The sequence below is a fragment of the Homo sapiens genome, chromosome X (assembly GCF_000001405.40).
Source record: "Homo sapiens chromosome X, GRCh38.p14 Primary Assembly".
Taxonomy (NCBI): domain Eukaryota; kingdom Metazoa; phylum Chordata; class Mammalia; order Primates; family Hominidae; genus Homo; species Homo sapiens.
In genome coordinates, this window is record NC_000023.11 from 1,626,039 (window position 1) to 1,647,103 (window position 21,065).

At 51.3% G+C, this 21,065-nt stretch overlaps 1 protein-coding gene across 3 annotated transcripts in view; it reads left to right on the forward strand.

Moving 5' to 3' along the window:
* The window catches only part of ASMT (acetylserotonin O-methyltransferase), a 28,023-nt gene extending 10,980 nt beyond the window's left edge, over nt 1-17,043 (forward strand). The window contains exons 4-9 of one of the 3 annotated variants that reach the window (NM_001171038.2): nt 1,665-1,733; nt 3,783-3,901; nt 6,666-6,749; nt 7,112-7,252; nt 10,400-10,522; nt 16,765-17,043. In NM_001171038.2, the coding sequence (NP_001164509.1) occupies nt 1,665-1,733; nt 3,783-3,901; nt 6,666-6,749; nt 7,112-7,252; nt 10,400-10,522; nt 16,765-16,976 (748 nt within the window). In that variant the 3' untranslated portion in view covers nt 16,977-17,043. The remainder of the gene's footprint in view (nt 1-1,664; nt 1,734-3,782; nt 3,902-6,665; nt 6,750-7,111; nt 7,253-10,399; nt 10,523-16,764) is intronic. The other 2 variants (NM_001416525.1, NM_001171039.1) reach the window with 2 other exon arrangements.

A 21,065-nucleotide genomic window follows, 5' to 3' on the forward strand; every position in this document is an offset into this window, starting at 1 on the left:
CAGGTAGCAGGCTTCAGAAAGAATAGACTGTTACTGTTTCCTATCTGACTTGGTTCTCTCCTGGATCAGAAAAAAGGAAGGAAAAGGAAGGTGATTCTCTCCAGAACGTAGATTTTCTCCACAACAGGTAGCTTTACAGGAGTATTTCAAGCTATGGTAAAGAGAACATGTTTGGGGCTAAAATATTTTTATTTCCTTTTTTTTTTTTTTTTTTGAGACAGAGTTTTGTTTTGTTGCCCAGGCTGGAGTGCAGTGGTATGATCTCGACTCACTGCAACCTCCGCCTCCTGGGTTTAAGTGATTCACCTGCCTCAGCCTCCCCAGTAGCTGGGAGTATAGGCATCCACCACACCTGGCTGATTGTTTGTGTTTTAGTAGAGACGGGGTTTCACCCTGTCTTTGAGGCTGGTCTCCAACTCCTGAGCTCAGGCTATCTGCCCCCGTCTTGGCCTCCCAGAGTGTTAGGATTATAGGTGTGAGCCACCACGCCCAGCCTTTGATTTTCTTCTTTATCTGTGATGGGTTGTTATGCCAGAGTCAGGTTGGAAAGTGAGCCACGTAATATAGGGTTAAATAAAACCCATCTCACGAGACTTTATAGTTATAGAGCATAACTCCCTAGGCCCCTTAGATAAGAATTTGGGCAAGGAAGAAAAAGGTCACGTGTAACAATTAAGTCCTCAGGTTTAAACAATTAAGCAACAGCTGGCCAGGCGCGGTGGCTCACGCCTGTAATCCCAGCACTTTGAGAGGCCGAGGCGGGTGGATCACCTGAGGTCACGAGTTCGAGACCAGCCTGACCAACATAGTGAAACCCCATCTCTACTAAAAAATACAAAAATGAGCCAGGCATGGTGGCGGGTGCCTGTCATCCCAGCTACTCGGGAGGTTGAGGCAGGAGAATCGCTTGAACCGAGGAGGTGGAGATTGCAGTGAGCCAAGATCGCGCCATTGCACTCCAGCCTGGGCGACACAGCGAGACTCCGTCTCATAAAATAAAATAAGGCCAGGTGCGGTGGCTCACGCCTGTAATCCCAGCACTTTGGGAGGCCAAGGCGGGCAGATCACCTGAGGTCAGGAGTTCGAGACCAGCCTGACCAACATGATGAAACCCCATCTGTACTAAAAAGTACAAAAATTAGCCAGGCACGGTGGCAGGTGCCTGTAATCCCAGCTACTCGGGAGGCTGAGGTAGGAAAATCGCTTGAACCCGGGAGGCGGAGATTACAGTGAGCCAAGATCGTGCCATTGCACTCCAGCCTGGGCGACACAGCGAGACTCCATCTCCTAAAATAAAATAAGGCCAGGTGTGGTGGCTCACACCTGTAACCCCACCACTTTGGGAGGCCGAGGCGGGTGGATCACCTGAGGTCACGAGTTTGAGACCAGCCTGACCAACATGGTGAAACCTGTCTCCACTAAAAATACAAAAATTAGCTGGGCGTGGTGGCGGGCGCCTATAGTCCCAGCTACTCGGGAGGCTGAGGCAGGAGAATGGCGTGAACCCAGAAGGCAGAGGTTGCAGTGAGCCGAGATCGTGCCATTGCACTCCAGCCTGGGCTACAGAGCTGAAATGAAATGAAACGAAATGAAACGAAATGAAATGAAATGAAATGAAATGAAATGAAATGAAATGAAAATCAGCCTTCTCTCTCTTTTCTTAGAGAAGGAAGGAACCAGTACCTGGAGACGTTTGGCGTTCCCGCTGAAGAGCTTTTTACGGCCATCTACAGGTAACACCCATCACTTTGAAACCAACAACTCAGATAAGATTCTGTTTATTTTTAAAGGACTTAGGAAACCCAATCCATTTACTCAAATGGCACAACCCAGGAGGAAGCTGCCATTTAATTTAAAATAACATCCCCTATCCCCACTACTACCCCAGATTTTGCTCATCTGATGTTTAAATTGATCAAATTCCTGAGGAGGTGCAACGTGACCCTTCCTTCGAAAGGACTACTCACAAACTCAGTGTTTATGTAGAAAATGGAGGCACGCGCCGGGCGCGGTGGCTCACGCCTGTCATCCCAGAACTTTGGGAGGCCGAGGCAGGTGGATCACCTGAGGTCAGGAGTTCGAGACCAGCCTGGCCAACAGGGTGAAACCCCGTCTCTACTAAAAATACAAAAATTAGCCGGGCGTGGTGGCGGACGCCTGTAATCCCAGCTAGTCGGGAGGCTGAGGCAGGAGAACTGCTTGAACCCGGGAGGCGGAGGTTGCGGTGATCTGAGATCGCACCACTGCACTCCAGCCTGGGCAACAAGAGTGAAACTCCATCTCAAAAAAGAAAAGAAAAGAATATAGAGGCCCAGTTTTTGATTTGGTCAGAGGTGAAGGTGAGGCCAGGTGAGACCTCAGCTCTTCACTTTGCTTTGCGATGTGGACACAGCTTTGGCCTTTGCCCGAAGCTCTTACCTAGAATTCCCAGATGGAGGTGAATTGATGGGCCCGTCCAGTGTTCCAGCTGGCTGAGGCATGGAGTAGGGAAGGGTATGAAGGACAAGGGGATGCCTGAGTGGTTCGCCTGCCCCCCAACCTCTCCTCTCCTCCCCTGCTCTCCCCTCCCCTCTCTTCTCCTTCTGTCCTGTTCCCTCTCTTTTCCTCTTCCATCCTCCTCTCTTTCTCTCCTTTTCCTTCTCTTCTCTTCTCTCCTCTCTTTTCCTCTCCATCTTCCCCCTCCTCTCTCCCATCTTCCCTCTCTTGTCTCCTCTCTCTTCTTCCCTCTCTCCTTTCCTCTCGCCTCCCTTCCCCTCCCTTCACCTGCCTCTCTCCTTCTCCTCTCCCGTCTTCTTTCTCTCATCTTCTCTGTTTTCATGCCCCGTATTTCACCTCCTTTTCTCCTCCTCTCTTCTCCTCGGTCTGCTTTCCTTTCCCCCGTTTCTCTCTTTCTTTCTCTCTCTCTTTCTTTCTTTCCTTCTTTCTTTCCTTCTTTCTCCTTCCTTCCTTCGTTCCTTCCTCTTTCCTTCTGCCTGCCTTCCTTCCTTCCCTCCCTCCCTCCTTTCTTTCTTTTTCTTTCTTCCTTCTTCCTTCTTTCCTTTCTTTATATATATATATATGTGTGTATACATGTGTATGTGTATGTGAATATATGTATCTGTTTAGGGGGCACAAGTACCCATGTCTTCCATGCTTACATGTTGCACCTTGCAGCCTAGGCTTTTAGTGTGCCCATCACCTGAATAGTGACCGTGGTACCTAAGAGGCAATTTTTCAGCCCTCGCTACTCTGAGGCAAACCCCTACAGCAGGCTCTGCAGAGAGGACAGGAGGAGAGAGGGAGCTGTGGGGGGGGAGGAGCAGGAAATGCTTCCAACACCAGAGCCCTGTCCGCCTCTGTGTCCACCTATCCTTCTTGGCTCCATCTCACCTGCCTCCCTTCCTAGTTCCTGCCTTTTCTCTAGCCTCTTCCCCAGGATGTGTGGACCTCCCACCCGCTTCCTGGATTTGTCCTCTGGGGCTGAGCTCTGTGGATGGGGGAACGTATTATTGACTTTCCTCTTAGAAAACATCTAAACTCCTCTTCAGATAGAAATCCCTTCCCATCCAGAGAACAATCGTCCGTTCTGAATCAACTCCAGGTTTCCCGGAGCTGGGTACACTTTGCTGGCTGACCTATGGTTCCCCCATCCCGAATGACTTCCTGTTCCATTTCACAAATGCAAGCCTTCCAGGTGCACCTGTGGGGTATAGCTCCGTTCTCAACAGGGGGTTATGTACACCCTTGCTCTGGGCACGTCCCCAGATCCTCACCATCTTGACAAGCGTGGTTTTGCATGCCAGGTCCGAGGGCGAGCGGCTACAGTTCATGCAAGCTCTGCAGGAGGTCTGGAGCGTCAACGGGAGAAGCGTGCTGACCGCCTTTGACCTGTCAGTGTTCCCACTTATGTGTGACCTTGGTGGTAAGTACCCCTCACCACTAATACCTCGGAGGTGTGGCTTCTGTTCTGTATGGGGAATGTGTTATTCATGTCTTTTATTTTCTGCATTCTGATGCTTTGACATGTGCGGCCTTACTGGTCTTAGAGGAATCATTCCTCCCAGCACTGGGCACTTCCTAGAGTCAGCAAACATCTCCTCTGCGAGCACACGTTTCTTTTTCTTTTCTTTTTTTAAGATGGAAGCTTGCTCCATCGCCCAGGCTGCAGTGCAGTGGCATGATCTCGGCTCACTGCAACCTTTGCCTCCTGGGTTCAAGCGATTCTCCTGCCTCAGCCTCCCGAGTAGCTGGGATTACAGGCACCTGCCACCACACCAGGCTAATTTTTTTTTTTTTTTTTTTTTTTGAGATGAAGTGTCGCTCTGTCGCCCAGGCTGGAGTGCAGTGGCACGATCTCGGCTCACCGCAACCTCCGCCTCCTGGGTTCAAGCGATTCTCCTGCCCCAGCCTCCCGAGTAGGTGGGATTATGGGTGCGCACCACTCTGTCAGGCTAATTTTTGTATTTTTTAATAGAGACGGGGTTTTGCCATGTTGGCCAGGCTGGTCTCGAACTCCTGACCTCATGATCCACCCGCCTCGGTCTTGTTTTTAGTTTTTGAGAGAGGGTCCTGTTTGTCACCCAGGCTCGAGTGCAATGGTGTGTTGATAGCTCACTGCAGCCTCAGACTCTCAGGCTCAAGTGGTCCTCCCACCTCAGCCTCCCAAGTAGCTGGGATTACAGATGACTGCCGCCACACCTAGCTCATTTAAAAACTTTTCTGTAGAGCCTGAGTCTCTCTACGTTGCCCTGGCTGGTCTCAGACTCCTGGGCTCATGCAATCCTGCTGCCTCAGCCTCCAAAAGTGCTGGGATTACAGGCGCCCGCCACCACACCCAGGCTGAGCTGAGCTTGTTTTATTTATTTATTTATTTATTTATTTACTTGTATTTATTTATTTATTTTTTTTTTTGAGATGGAGTCTTGCTCTGTCACCCAGGCTGGAATGCAGTGGTGCAATCTCCACTCACTGCAAGCTCTGCCTCCCGGGTTCACGCCATTCTCCTGCCTCAGCCTCCTGAGTAGCTGGGACTACAGGCGCCCGCCACCACGCCCAGCTAATTTTTTGTTTTTTTTTTTAGTAGAGACGGGGTTTCTCCGTGTTAGCCAGGATGGTCTCGATCTCCTGACCTCGTGATCCACCCGCCTCCGCCTCCCAAAGTGCCAGGATTGCAGGCATGAGCCACTGCGCCGAGCTCATTTTCAAACTTTTTTGTAGAGAACGAGTCTCCCTATGTTGCCCTGGCTGGTCTCAGACTCCAGTTTCATGCAGTCCTCCTGCCTCGGCCTCCCAGAGTGAGTGATGGGATTACAGGCATGAGCCACTGCACCCAGGCTGAGCTTGCTTTTTGAATACAAATCCCCAACCCCGAGCTCACCCCTTAAGCACCTCCTCTACCCCATAGGGCTGTCACACTCCAGGCCGTGATCCACCCACCCTATCTCCCTCCTGTGACTCAGTGGATCACTCAGAACAGCTCCTGGCTGGTAGAAGGCCCTTTGCAGAGTGAGGAGCTTCTCCAAGTTTATTACTTTTAGTCACTGTGAGCAGGGATAGATAGAGTTCAGGATCCCCCTGCCTGGGGAGCAGCTTGGGAAGAAAATAATGAACAAGCAGACCGGGCGCGGTGGCTCACTCCTGTAATCCCAGCACTTTGGGAGGCCGAGGCGGGTGGATCTCCTGAGGTCAGGAGTTCGAGATCAGCCTGGTCAACATGGTGAAATCCCGTCTCTACTAAAAATACAAAAAAAGGCTGGGTGCGGTGGCTCATGCCTGTAATCCCAGCACTTTGGGAGGCTGAGGCGGGCGGATCCCAAGGTCAGGAGTTTGAGACCAGCCTGACCAACGGGGTGAAACCCGGTCTCTACTAAAAATACAAAAACTTAGCCAGGCATGACAGTAGGTGCCTGTCATCCCAGGTACTCAGGAGGCTGAGGCAGGAGAATCGCTTGTACCCGGGAAGTGAAGGTTGCAGTGAGCTGAGATCGCGCCACTGCACTCCAGCCTGGTGACAGAGTGAGACTCCATCTCAAAATAAATAAAAAGACTGACTTTCTACAGAAATAATGGACAAGGAGCATGGGGCTGGAAGTCTCTGTGGCCCATGATGGATTTTGTGTGCACGACTTACCGGGGCCTCTGAATGGGGCTTGTTATTACATCCTTCTCTTAGCTGTTGGCCGCCCTTGGCTGGACAGGTGCGCCGGCTTCAAGAACACACAGTTAAGTGCGTGGCCATATGGAAGTTTGGAGCTTGGGTCAGCCCAGCCAGAAAGACCACCTGAACTCAGGGGCCTGTAGACAATCACGTCACCGTCAAGATTAGACATGGTGGATAAAAAAGGATGAGTTCGGCCGGGCGCGGTGGCTCACGCCTGTCATCCCAGCACTTTGGGAGGCCGAGATGGGCGGATCACGAGGTCAGGAGATCGAGACCATCCTGGCTAACACGGAGAAACCCTGTCTCTACTAAAAATACAATAAAAAAATTAGCTGGGCGTGGTGGCGGGCGCCTGTAGTCCCAGCTACTGGGGAGGCTGAGGCAGGAGAATGGCGTGAACCCGGGAGGCAGAGCTTGCAGTGAGCGGAAATCGTGCCACTGCACTCCAGCCTGGGCGACAGAGCCAGACTCTGTCTCAAAAATAAATAAATTAATAAATAAAAGGATGCGTTCATGTCCTTTGCAGGGACATGGATAAAGCTGGAAACCATCATTCTCAGCAAACTATCGCAAGGACAGAAAACCAAACACCGCGTGTTCTCACTCATAGGTGGGAACTGAACAATGAGACCACATGGACACAGGGAGGGGAACGTCACACACTGGGGCCTGTCAGGGCCTGGGGGGCTGGGAGGCTGGGGGAGGGAGAGCACTAGGACAAATACCTAATGTAAATGACGAGTCGATGGGTGCAGCAAACCACCATGGCACATGGATACCTATGTAACAAAACCGCATGTTCTGCACATGTACCCTAGAACTTAAAGTATAATAAAAAGAAAAAAAAGACCAGACATGGCGGAAGGACCCAAGTTCCTGGGTTGGACCCTTCATGAGTCCATGGTGTGTGGAGGGTGAGCGATGTCTCTCAGGTTCATCTCTGAGGGTCAAACGGGCTGTGTCCCCTTCCAGGTGGGGCTGGAGCTCTGGCTAAGGAATGCATGTCTCTGTACCCTGGATGTAAGATCACCGTTTTTGACATCCCAGAAGTGGTGTGGACGGCAAAGCAGCACTTCTCATTCCAGGAGGAAGAACAGATTGACTTCCAGGAAGGTGTGTTTGTGTCCGTGGGGAAGCAGAGATGTGTCTCACGGCTTCTCCAGGGGGACTGGATGTTTCTGGGAAATGAAGAAGATGTGATGTGGTTTTCCTCTCACTCCCGGAAACACCCTCAACTCAACACTGTCTGTTATTCATGATGGATGGAAAGCTGGGTGTAGATATACAGTTTTCTTACAATTATTATTATTATTATTGATACAGAGTCTTGCTTTGTCGCCCAGGCTGGAGTGCAGTGGTGCAGTCTCGGCTCACTGCAACCTCCACCTCCTGGGTTCAAGCAATTCTCCTGCCTCAGCCTCCCAAGTAGCTGGGATTACAGGCATGCGCCACCACATCCAGCTAATTTTTTTTTTTTTTTGAGATGGAGTCTCACTCTCTTGCCCGGGCTGGAGTGTGGTGACAGATCTCGGCTCCCTTCAAGCTCCGCCTCCCGGGTTCACACCATTCTCCTGCCTCAGCCTCCCAAGTAGCTGGGACTACAGGCACCCACCACCACACCTGGCTAATCTTTTATATTTTTAGTAGAGGTGGAGTTTCACTGTGTTAGCCAGGATGGTCTCGATCTCCTGACCGCGTGATCCGCCCACCTTGGCCTCCCAAAGTGCTGGGATTACAGGTGTGAACCATCACACCCGGCCTCTTTTTGTATTTTTAGTAGAGATGGGGTTTCACCGTGTTGACCAGGCTGGTCTCAAACTCCTGACCTCAGGAGATCCACCCGCCTCGGCCTCCCAAAGTGCTGGGATTACAGGCGTGAGCCACCGCACCCAGCCAGTCATATCATTTCTGCAGTGAAGGGTGTGGCCAGGGTCTCCACGACTACCTTCAGGTTCAATAATTCACTAGAAGGACACACCGAGCTCAGAAGAGCCATCATACACATAGTTATATTTACAACAATGAAAGAATACAGATGCATATCAGCGAAGGAGAAAGGAGCATGGGATAGAGTTCGGGAGAAACCACATGTGAGCTTCTTGTTGTCTTCTCCCAGTGGAGCTGTGGACAGCAATCAATTCCCCCAACAACAAGGTTTGACAACACACACCACTCACTGCCAGCCTGGAGAGCCTCCGCAATCCCTGACATCCAAGGATTTTCTTGGAGACTGGTTACATAGACATGGCAGACACCCTGCATGGCTGACTCCAATCTTCACCTCTTCCAGAGTTCCCAAGGTGATCCTATAGTAAATCCCACTGTTAGTACAAACTATCCTGGGTGGCCCAGAGACCCAGCTGAACAAAGATACCCTTGTGAGGTAGGACATTCTTAGAGATTACAGTTGCCAATTAAGTGCCAATCCTCTCTTTAGAATGTGGAGGGTTTGGACAACACAGGCCTGCTGAGTTAACCCCCCCCCTTTTTTTTTCTTGTTTTTTTGAGACGGAGTCTCACTCTGTCACCCAGGCTGGAGTGCAGTGGCGTGATCCAAGCTCACTGCAACCTCTGCCTCCCAGGTTCAAGCAATTTTTTGCCTCAGCCTCCTAAGTAGCTGAGATTTTACAGGTGCCTATCACCATGCCTGGCTAATTTTTTGTATTTTTAGTAGAGACAGGGTTTCACTATCTCGGCCAGGCTGGTTTTGAATTCCTGACCTCGTGATCCACCTGCCTCGGCCTCCCAAAGTGCTGGGGATTACAGGAGTGAGCCACCGCGCCTGGCCTGAGTTAACTCTTTTTTTTTTTTTTTTGAGATGGAGTCTCGCTCTGTCACCCAGGCTGGAGTGCAGTGGTGGGATCTCGGCTCACTGCAAGCTCCACCTCCCGGGTTCACACCATTCTCCTGCCTCAGCCTCCCGAGTAGCTGGGACTACAGGCGCCCACCACCACGCCCAGCTAATTTTTTTTTTTTTTTTGTATTTTTGGTAGAGATGGGGTTTCACCGTGTTAGCCAGGATGGTCTCAATCTCCTGATCTCGTGATCTGCCCCGCTCAGACTCCCAAAGTGCTGGGATTACAGGCGTGAGCCACCGCGCCTGGCCTGAATTAACTCTTCACTGCACAGAGCTCACCAAGATCTCTCCCAAGATTGGCACCTTATCATTTTGCGGGAAAACTATGACAAGACTTGAGCGTTTCACATCGCACACACATAAAGGGTCAGTCTTGCGTATTTACTTTAAATCTGGAGAACAGGTCTTGACTGTAGGTTCAGTTCAGCTCATCAGTTAGGAGCTGCTGACCGAATTCCCAGGGACTCCTGGAATCCACGGCTTTGGGTGATATCAGCAGCAGTGCTTTTGCAGGGGACATCAGAAAGAAAGAAAGAAAGAACATGGGCCGGGCACAGCAGCTCATGCCTGTAATCCCAGCACTTTGGGAGGCCGAGGCGGGCGGATCACCTCAGGTTGGGGGTTCGAGACCAGCCTCAGCAACATGGAGAAATCCCATCTCTACTAAAAATACAAAAATTAGCCGGGCGTGGTGGCGGGTGCCTGTAATCCCAGCTACTCAGGAGGCTGAGGCAGGAGAATCGCTTGAAACCAGGAGGTGGAGGTTGCGGTGAGCTGAGATCAGGCCCTTGCACTCCAGCCTGGGCAACAAGAGCAAAACTCCATCTCAAACAAACAAACAAACAAAAAAACAAAAAAGAAACCATATTATGATTTTTTTTTAAAGGAGGAGGAGAGAAAGAGGCCACACTTATTCAGTATTTTCTTTCTTTTTTTTTTTTTGGAGACAGTCTCGCTGTCGCCCAGGCTGGAGTGCAATGGTGCAATCTCGGCTCACTGCAAGCTCCGCCTCCCGGGTTCATGCCATTCTCCTGCCTCAGCCTCCCGAGTAGCTGGGACCACAGGCACCCGCCATCACGCCCGGCTAATTTTTTTTGTATTTTTAGTAGAGACAGGGTTTCACCGTGTTAGCCAGGATGGTCTTGATCTCCTGACCTCGTGATCTGCCCACCTCCGCCTCCCAAAGTGCTAGGATTACAGGCGTGAGCCACCGCGCCCGACCTCAGTATTTTCTTATCTTTCTCCTAAGCCTTTTTGTTTTCTGAGGCTAGGTCTGCAGGTGACTAGCCTGGAAGACCTGGGAAAGGCGTGACCCATCCAGGTGACCTTTTGTGCCCAGAATAGGTTTAGTCAAATGGGATTGGATTGCAGGCTGACCTCGGTGTGCCTGCCCTGTGTTCCAGGGGATTTCTTCAAAGACCCTCTTCCGGAAGCTGATCTGTACATCCTGGCCAGGGTCCTCCATGACTGGGCAGACGGAAAGTGCTCACACCTGCTGGAGAGGATCTACCACACTTGCAAGCCAGGTAAGTTGTGGGGTTTGCATTTCAGCGTGTGCTTGTGACACGGGGCAGAATTGTACGAGTCACATTTAGAAGGCAGGCACTGAAATCATCCCACAGGTAAGGGTAGACATCCTGCCCAATATGGCTTTCCTTTTAGATAACGACCTGAAATAAATAGGGTCCTAATTTCTATTCTATTGATAAAACCACATAAAGATGGAAAAAGTGAAAGGCCCTCTGAAACTTCAGTGGCCTCACTTTGGTGAAATTCTTTCAGAATTAGGCTAGTATTTGTGTGTGTGATGAGGACAGTGCCCCACTGACTTCTGAGGTCCACCCATCCTGATGGTTCATGAGGATGTGGGCACAGCCTCTGTGTGTGATGGGGACAGTGTCCCAGCTCTCCTGTGAGGTCCATCCATCCTGATGGCACATGAGGATGTGGGCACAGCCTCTGTGTGTGATGGGGACAGTGTCCCAGCTCTCCTGTGAGGTCCATCCATCCTGATGGCACATGAGGATGTGGGCACAGCCTCTGTGTGTGAGATAAGGACTGTGTCCCAGCTCTCCTGTGAGGTCCACCCATCCTGATGCTTCACGAGGACGTGGGCACAGCCTCTGTGTATGATGGGGACAGTGTCCCAGTGTCCTGTGAGGTCCATCCATCCTGATGGCACATGAGGATGTGGACACAGCCTCTGTGTGTGTGATGGGGACAGTGTCCCAGTGTCCTGTGAGATCCATCCCTCCTGATGGTTCATGAGGATGTGGGCACAGCCTCTGTGTATGATGGGGACAGTGTCCCAGTGTCCTGTGAGATCCATCCCTCCTGATGCTTCACGAGGACGTGGGCACAGCCTCTGTGTATGATGGGGACAGTGTCCCAGTGTCCTGTGAGGTCCACCCATCCTGATGGCACATGAGGATGTGGGCACAGCCTCTGTGTGTGAGATAGGGACCATGTCCCAGCTCTCCTGTGAGGTCCATCCATCCTGATGATCCATGAGGATGTGGACACAGCCTCTGTGTGTGTGATGGGGACAGTGTCCCAGTGTCCTGTGAGATCCATCCCTCCTGATGGTTCATGAGGATGTGGGCACAGCCTCTGTGTGTGAGATAGGGACCATGTCCCAGCTCTCCTGTGAGGTCCATCCATCCTGATGATCCATGAGGATGTGGACACAGCCTCTGTGTGTGTGATGGGGACAGTGTCCCAGTGTCCTGTGAGATCCATCCCTCCTGATGGTTCATGAGGATGTGGGCACAGCCTCTGTGTGTGAGATAGGGACCATGTCCCAGCTCTCCTGTGAGGTCCATCCATCCTGATGGCACATGAGGATGTGGGCACAGCCTCTGTGTGTGAGATAGGGACCATGTCCCAGCTCTCCTGTGAGGTCCATCCATCCTGATGATCCATGAGGATGTGGACACAGCCTCTGTGTGTGTGATGGGGACAGTGTCCCAGTGTCCTGTGAGATCCATCCCTCCTGATGGTTCATGAGGATGTGGGCACAGCCTCTGTGTGTGAGATAGGGACCATGTCCCAGCTCTCCTGTGAGGTCCATCCATCCTGATGGCACATGAGGATGTGGGCACAGCCTCTGTGTGTGAGATAGGGACCATGTCCCAGCTCTCCTGTGAGGTCCATCCATCCTGATGATCCATGAGGATGTGGACACAGCCTCTGTGTGTGTGATGGGGACAGTGTCCCAGTGTCCTGTGAGATCCATCCCTCCTGATGGTTCATGAGGATGTGGGCACAGCCTCTGTGTGTGAGATAGGGACCATGTCCCAGCTCTCCTGTGAGGTCCATCCATCCTGATGATCCATGAGGATGTGGACACAGCCTCTGTGTGTGTGATGGGGACAGTGTCCCAGTGTCCTGTGAGATCCATCCCTCCTGATGGTTCATGAGGATGTGGGCACAGCCTCTGTGTGTGAGATAGGGACCATGTCCCAGCTCTCCTGTGAGGTCCATCCATCCTGATGGCACATGAGGATGTGGGCACAGCCTCTGTGTGTGAGATAGGGACCATGTCCCAGCTCTCCTGTGAGGTCCACCCATCCTGATGCTTCACGAGGACGTGGGCACAGCCTCTGTGTATGATGGGGACAGTGTCCCAGTGTCCTGTGAGGTCCATCCATCCTGATGGCACATGAGGATGTGGACACAGCCTCTGTGTGTGTGATGGGGACAGTGTCCCAGTGTCCTGTGAGATCCATCCCTCCTGATGGTTCATGAGGATGTGGGCACAGCCTCTGTGTGTGAGATAGGGACCATGTCCCAGCTCTCCTGTGAGGTCCACCCATCCTGATGATCCATGAGGATGTGGACACAGCCTCTGTGTGTGTGATGGGGACAGTGTCCCAGTGTCCTGTGAGATCCATCCATCCTGATGGCACATGAGGATGTGGGCACAGCCTCTGTGTGTGAGATAGGGACCATGTCCCAGCTCTCCTGTGAGGTCCATCCATCCTGATGATCCATGAGGATGTGGACACAGCCTCTGTGTGTGTGATGGGGACAGTGTCCCAGTGTCCTGTGAGATCCATCCCTCCTGATGGTTCATGAGGATGTGGGCACAGCCTCTGTGTGTGAGATAGGGACCATGTCCCAGCTCTCCTGTGAGGTCCACCCATCCTGATGATCCATGAGGATGTGGACACAGCCTCTGTGTGTGTGATGGGGACAGTGTCCCAGTGTCCTGTGAGATCCATCCATCCTGATGGTTCATGAGGATGTGGGCACAGCCTCTGTGTGTGAGATAGGGACCATGTCCCAGCTCTCCTGTGAGGTCCATCCATCCTGATGGCACATGAGGATGTGGGCACAGCCTCTGTGTGTGAGATAAGGACTGTGTCCCAGCTCTCCTGTGAGGTCCACCCATCCTGATGCTTCACGAGGACGTGGGCACAGCCTCTGTGTATGATGGGGACAGTGTCCCAGTGTCCTGTGAGGTCCATCCATCCTGATGGCACATGAGGATGTGGACACAGCCTCTGTGTGTGTGATGGGGACAGTGTCCCAGTGTCCTGTGAGATCCATCCCTCCTGATGGTTCATGAGGATGTGGGCACAGCCTCTGTGTGTGAGATAGGGACCATGTCCCAGCTCTCCTGTGAGGTCCACCCATCCTGATGATCCATGAGGATGTGGACACAGCCTCTGTGTGTGTGATGGGGACAGTGTCCCAGTGTCCTGTGAGATCCATCCATCCTGATGGCACATGAGGATGTGGGCACAGCCTCTGTGTGTGAGATAGGGACCATGTCCCAGCTCTCCTGTGAGGTCCATCCATCCTGATGATCCATGAGGATGTGGACACAGCCTCTGTGTGTGTGATGGGGACAGTGTCCCAGTGTCCTGTGAGATCCATCCCTCCTGATGGTTCATGAGGATGTGGGCACAGCCTCTGTGTGTGAGATAGGGACCATGTCCCAGCTCTCCTGTGAGGTCCACCCATCCTGATGATCCATGAGGATGTGGACACAGCCTCTGTGTGTGTGATGGGGACAGTGTCCCAGTGTCCTGTGAGATCCATCCATCCTGATGGCACATGAGGATGTGGGCACAGCCTCTGTGTGTGAGATAGGGACCATGTCCCAGCTCTCCTGTGAGGTCCACCCATCCTGATGATCCATGAGGATGTGGACACAGCCTCTGTGTGTGTGATGGGGACAGTGTCCCAGTGTCCTGTGAGGTCCATCCCTCCTGATGGTTCATGAGGATGTGGGCACAGCCTCTGTGTGTGAGATAGGGACCATGTCCCAGCTCTCCTGTGAGGTCCACCCATCCTGATGATCCATGAGGATGTGGACACAGCCTCTGTGTGTGTGATGGGGACAGTGTCCCAGTGTCCTGTGAGATCCATCCCTCCTGATGGTTCATGAGGATGTGGGCACAGCCTCTGTGTGTGAGATAGGGACCATGTCCCAGCTCTCCTGTGAGGTCCACCCATCCTGATGCTTCATGAGGACGTGGGCACAGCCTCTGTGTATGATGGGGACAGTGTCCCAGTGTCCTGTGAGATCCATCCATCCTGATGGCACATGAGGATGTGGGCACAGCCTCTGTGTGTGAGATAGGGACCATGTCCCAGCTCTCCTGTGAGGTCCATCCATCCTGATGATCCATGAGGATGTGGACACAGCCTCTGTGTGTGTGATGGGGACAGTGTCCCAGTGTCCTGTGAGATCCATCCCTCCTGATGGTTCATGAGGATGTGGGCACAGCCTCTGTGTGTGAGATAGGGACCATGTCCCAGCTCTCCTGTGAGGTCCACCCATCCTGATGATCCATGAGGATGTGGACACAGCCTCTGTGTGTGTGATGGGGACAGTGTCCCAGTGTCCTGTGAGATCCATCCATCCTGATGGCACATGAGGATGTGGGCACAGCCTCTGTGTGTGAGATAGGGACCATGTCCCAGCTCTCCTGTGAGGTCCACCCATCCTGATGATCCATGAGGATGTGGACACAGCCTCTGTGTGTGTGATGGGGACAGTGTCCCAGTGTCCTGTGAGGTCCATCCCTCCTGATGGTTCATGAGGATGTGGGCACAGCCTCTGTGTGTGAGATAGGGACCATGTCCCAGCTCTCCTGTGAGGTCCACCCATCCTGATGATCCATGAGGATGTGGACACAGCCTCTGTGTGTGTGATGGGGACAGTGTCCCAGTGTCCTGTGAGATCCATCCCTCCTGATGGTTCATGAGGATGTGGGCACAGCCTCTGTGTGTGAGATAGGGACCATGTCCCAGCTCTCCTGTGAGGTCCACCCATCCTGATGATCCATTAGGATGTGGACACAGCCTCTGTGTGTGTGATAGGGACCATGTCCCAGTGTCCTGTGAGGTCCACCTATCCTGATGGTCCATGAGGATGTGGACACAGCCGCTCTGTGTGTGATGGGGACAGTGTCCCAGCTCTCCTGTGAGGTCCATCCATCCTGATGGTTCATGGGGACGTGAGCACAGCCTCTGTGTGTGTGTTGGGGACAGTGTCCCAGTTCTCCTGTGAGGTCCACCCATCCTGATGGTTCATGAGGATGTGGGCACAGCCTCTGTGTGTGTGATGGGGACAGTGTCCCAGTGTCCTGTGAGGTCCACCCATCCTGGTGGTCCATGAGTACATGGACACAGCCTCTCTGTGTGAGATGGGGACAGTGTCCCAGTTCTCCTGTGAGGTCCACCCATCCTGGTGGTCCATGAGTACATGGACACAGCCTCTCTGTGTGTGATAAGGACAGTGTTCCAGCTCTCCTGTGAGGTCCACCCATCTTGATGGTTCATGAGGACTTGGGCATGGCCTCTATGTGTGTGATGGGGACAGTGTCCCAGTGTCCTGTGAGGTCCACCCATCCTGATGGTCCATGAGGATGTGGGCACAACCTCTTTGTGTGTGATGGGGACAGTGTCCCAGTGTCTGTGAGGTCCACCCATCCGATGGTTCATGAGGACGTGGGCACAGCCTCTGTGTGTAATGGGGATAGCATCCCAGTGTCCTGTGAGGTCCATCCATCCTGATGGCCCATGAGGATGTGGGCACAGCCTCTGTGTGTGTGTGTGTGATGGGGACGGTGTCCCAGTTCTCCTGTGAGGTCCACCCATCCTGATGGTCCATGAGGACATGGGCACAGCCTCTCTGTGTGTGATAAGGACAGTGTTCCAGCTCTCCTGTGAGGTCCACCCATCTTGATGGTTCATGAGGACTTGGGCACAGCCTCTGTGTGTGTGATGGGGACAGTGTCCCAGTGTCCTGTGAGGTCCATACATCCTGATGGTCCATGAGGACATGGGCACAACCTCTGTGTGTATAATGGGGACAGTGTCCCAGTGTCCTGTGAGGTCCACCCATCCTGATGGTTCATGAGGACGTGGGCTCAGCCTCTGTGTGTAATGAGGACAGTGTCCCAGTGTCCTGAGAGGTCCATCGATCCTGATGGCCCATGAGGATGTGGGCACAGCCTCTGTGTGTGTGTGATGGGGACGGTGTCCCAGTTCTCCTGTGAGGTCCATCCATCCTGATGGTTCATGAGGACATGGGCACAGCCTCTATGTGTGTGATGGGGACAGTGTCCCAGCGTCCTGTGAGGTTCACCCATCCTGATGATCGATGAGGACGTGGGCACAGCCTCTGAGTGTGTGATGGGGACGGTGCCCTGACTGTCCTCTGAGGTCTGGCTGTCCTTATGGTTCACTGGGACTTTGGCACAGTCTGTCTGTGTGTTTGTGTGTGATGTGGACTGTGCCCCTCCCTTTCTAGGTGGTGGCATTCTGGTAATTGAAAGCCTCCTGGATGAAGACAGGCGAGGTCCTCTGCTCACGCAGCTCTACTCTCTGAACATGCTTGTGCAGACGGAAGGGCAGGAGAGGACCCCCACCCACTACCACATGCTCCTCTCTTCTGCTGGCTTCAGAGACTTCCAGTTTAAGAAAACAGGAGCCATTTATGATGCCATTTTAGCCAGGAAATAACTGTTTCTTGTGACCTGGAACTAACGTCAAAGCACACAAGACATAATAATAAAGACATGTACCTCCAGTGGCTTCTTGTTCTTGGTGTTCACATGATAAGTGACTGGAGGCTTCTGTGGACAGGGTTGGACTGCTTCTACTTTGTAGATTATTTCCCAGGCTTTACTGAGGACCACGCTGATGGGGGTGTGAGCTCAGCTTTGATATTGACTGTAAGCAAAGTTTTGGTCCTCTTCATGCTGTAAAGTGGGACTCCAGTGTTCACCTTGAGGGGTGTCTGTTAGAAGCTTCACCCTGAACAGAACTTTGGCACCAGTGATGGATGTAGCAACTATAGGTGTCTATGAAATATGAGGTTCTCCTTTCAGGCTGCCTTGCACAGCTCTGTGACTTATTAGTGATGCCATTTCAACCGTGAGAAAGGTGAGGCTTTCTGTCTCTCTCTCTCTGCCTCAGACAGTCCCATCTGTCTCTCCTGTATGGATCTGTACTCAAATCTCTTCATGTAGCCACCATGAGAGTGCGGGCATTTGCCGCCAGATTAGATCACGCCACATCTGTGGATACAGAGAAATCAGCAGATGCTACAGAAGAGGAAAATATTTCCCTCCTACCAATCTCATACCCATTTCTCCCTGGACCTCTTCCGCAATGTCAACAAGGTTTTCTACTTCTTGTTTTCCTCTAGTGTACATTTTAGATTATTTTGGTACTTTCTTTACTCTCAGTCTAAACATTGTTTTTTTCAACTAAAAAGATGAGAAAACAAAACAAAATGGAATAATCGTCAAAGCAAGTTGTTGTGGGTTGAATTCTGTTCCCCAAAAGATATGTCCAGGCTGTGGCCCCTGGAACCTGTGAATGGTATCTTATTTAGAAGTAAGATCTTTGCTGATGAAATCAAGTTCAGATGAGGTCATTAGGATGAGCGCTAAATCCAATATGACTGATGTGCTTATAAGAAAACAAGAGACACAGAAACGCACAGAAGAGAGGGGAGAATGCCACATGAGGACACAGACACAGGTGAGAAGGCCACATGGAGACAGAGGCAGAGACTAGAGTGATGCGGCCACAAGCCCAGGGACACCTGGAGCCCCCAGGAACTGGGAGAGGCAGGAAGAGTCCTCCCCTAGAGCCTCTGGAGGGAATGTAGCTCTGCAACATCTTGATCTCAGAATTCTAGTTTGCAGCACTGGGCAAGTTTATTATTATTATTATTATTATTATTATTATTATTATTATTATTTTGAGATGGAGTCTTGCTCTGTTGCCCAGGCTGGAGTGCAGTGGCATGATCTCGGCTCGCTGCAAGCGCCACCTCCCAGGTTCACGCCATTCTGCCTCAGCCTCCTGAGTAGCTGGGACTACAGGTGCCCGCCACCACACCCAGCTAATTTTTTGTATTTTTAGTAAAGACACGGTTTCACCATGTTAGGTGGTCCTAACAAACTCATCTACAAGAAAGGTAAGGAATGGTGTGCACATTTCAAATTTTAAGTTTGAAAAAGCACAAGAGAATCTGCTTCTTTTTGCAATGTCTAATCTGTTTAAAAGGCATCTTTCACAGAGAGTGTGATTTGGGAATATTTGCAGAGTTGCATGACACCTTTTAAAATTAGATTAAACAGGAAGAAAAGAGACTCAGGGACATCTTAATTCTCTGTTGAGGAGTTCTCATAAACTAAACGGTCTAATTTCAAAATGTTCAAGCTGAAGTTTGGAAATGAACTCTTTCGAAAAACATGCTTATGTCAGTTGCTGGGAGTTGCAGCTGGTGGTCATCCCCGAGAACATGCATTCACCACAAGTCCATGGAGGCCTTATTCATGCCAAGAGTAGTGGAGTCCAGTCCCTCAGAGTGCCCTGTGTGCCCTGCTGCAAATAGGACCTTTTCCTGGGTATTCAGTGATGCACAGGCAACTAATTATAGGGGAACGCTTATTTAATAAGGAATGAAGATTTTATCTTCTTATTTATTTTTCAGAGATGAAGTCTTGCTCTGTTTCCCAGGCTGGAGTACAGTGGTACAGTGATAGCTCACTGCAGCCTCCAACTCATGGGCTCAAGCGATTCTCCTGCCTCAGCCTCCCTAGTAGCTGGGACTACAGGCTCAACTAATCGATTTTTTTTTTTTTTTTTTTTAGAGACAGGATCTTGCTATGTTGCCCAGGCTGTTCTCAAACTCCTGGTCTCAAGTGAGTCTCCTGCCTCAGCCTCCCAAAATGCTGGAATTACTGGCATGAGTCACTGCACCTGGCCTATTTGATCTTTCTAATTCTTGCCCCATCAATGCCCTGTCAAATTTTCTTCACCCAAGTAACAGAACTTTATTAATTACCATAATTATCTGATCGAATGGAGTTCCCAAGCCCCATCAGGTTTTTTTTGTGTTTTTTTTTTTTGAGACAGAATCTCGCTCTGTCACCCAGGCTGGAGTGCAGTGGCATGATCTCGGGTCACTGCAAGCTCCACCTTTGGGTTCATGCCATTCTCCTGCCTCAGCCTCCCAAGTAGCTGGGACTACAGGTGCCCACCACCACGCCTGGCTAATTTTTTTGTATTTTTAGTAGAGACAGGGTTTCATTGTGGTCTCGATCTCCTGACCTCATGATCTGCCCACCTCAGCCTCCCAAAGTGCTGGGATTACAGGCGTGAGCCACTGCACCCAGCCCCAAGCCCCTATCAGCTTTAAAGAAAACTTCAGTTTTTAAAACTAAGATCCTGACTTTCCTGCATGGTGAGTGCTGAGACATTCCTCCCTGATGGCTGCTCCATGGAGGAAGGGCTAGGGTCTGACTTGGGAACTGCCTCCCCTTCTGGGCAGAGAGGAGGACCAGAGCAGGCAGGGTCTTCCATCCCTACTGAAGGGGTTGGAGGTGGGCAATGGTCTCTGTCCAGGCTGACCCTTTTGATGCTGGAGCCTGGCTGGTTTTCCAAGTCCCCATCCATGTGGTAGACATGGCTATGGTGGGCATTGTTCATTGCCATCCTGTCTTCCTTTGTATTCAGAGATCCTCTTAGAGACAGCCAAGGAGTCTCCATTAGAATTTCTGGGGTGGGCATGCCTTGTGCTTGGCTGGGAGCCACCTCATCAGCACCACTGTCCTGCCTCTCCATTCACCATGAGAACCTCATGGGCTCCTCTTCCAAGTTCAGGAGCCAGGGGGTTCTAGAAGGTGCCCATTATACCATCACTCCCCATTGGACCCTCTTTGCCCCAGGTCAAGTAGGCACAGGGAGTTTTCTTCCTAACCAGAAACTTAGCAGAGAAAGACAGCTCCTCTTGTCTTCTTGTAGGCTCCCCTCAATCTTTATGAGTGGTTTTCTGGGATTTCTTTCTCTTGTCTGGGAGGAGACCCCAGCTTCTCTTTCCTGAGGCAGAGCATTCAGACAGATGCTAATTCCTTCCCACCCACCCAAAGTTTTTTGTCACTTATGCCACTGGGCTGGGGTTACTGGGAGTGGGAAGGTGTATATATTTGGGATTTTTTTTCCCTTTTGTCCTTAAATTCCAAGTCCTGGTGAGTTAATTGAGGACATAATGTACCAAAATCTATTTTTTCCTCCTATTTCTTCCTCTCCTTCCTTCCTCCCTTCCTTCCTTCCTTCCCTCTTTCTTTCTCTCTCTCTTTCTTTCTTTCTTTCTTTTTTTTTTTTTTTAACAGAGTCTCGCTGTCTCCCAAGCTGGAGTGCAGTGGTGTGATCTCGGCTCACTGCAAGCTCCGCCTCCCAGGTTCACGCCTTTCTCCTGTCTCAGCCTCCTGAGTAGCTGGGACTACAGGCACCTGCCACCATGCCCGGCTAATTTTTTGCATTTTTAGTAGAGACGGGGTTTCACCATGTTAGCCAGGATGGTCTCAATCTCCTGACCTCGTGATCCACCTGCCTCAGCCTCCCAAAGTGCTGGGAATACAGGCATGAGCCATCACGCCCAGATTCACTCTTTCTTTCTTTCTTTCTTTCTTTTTCTTTCTTTCTTTCTCTTTCTTCTTTCTTTCTTTCTTCTTTCTTCTCTCTTTTGTTCTCTCCTTTCTTTCCTTGTTTCTCTTTCCTCCTTTACCTCTTTCTTCTTTTTCTTCCTTTCTT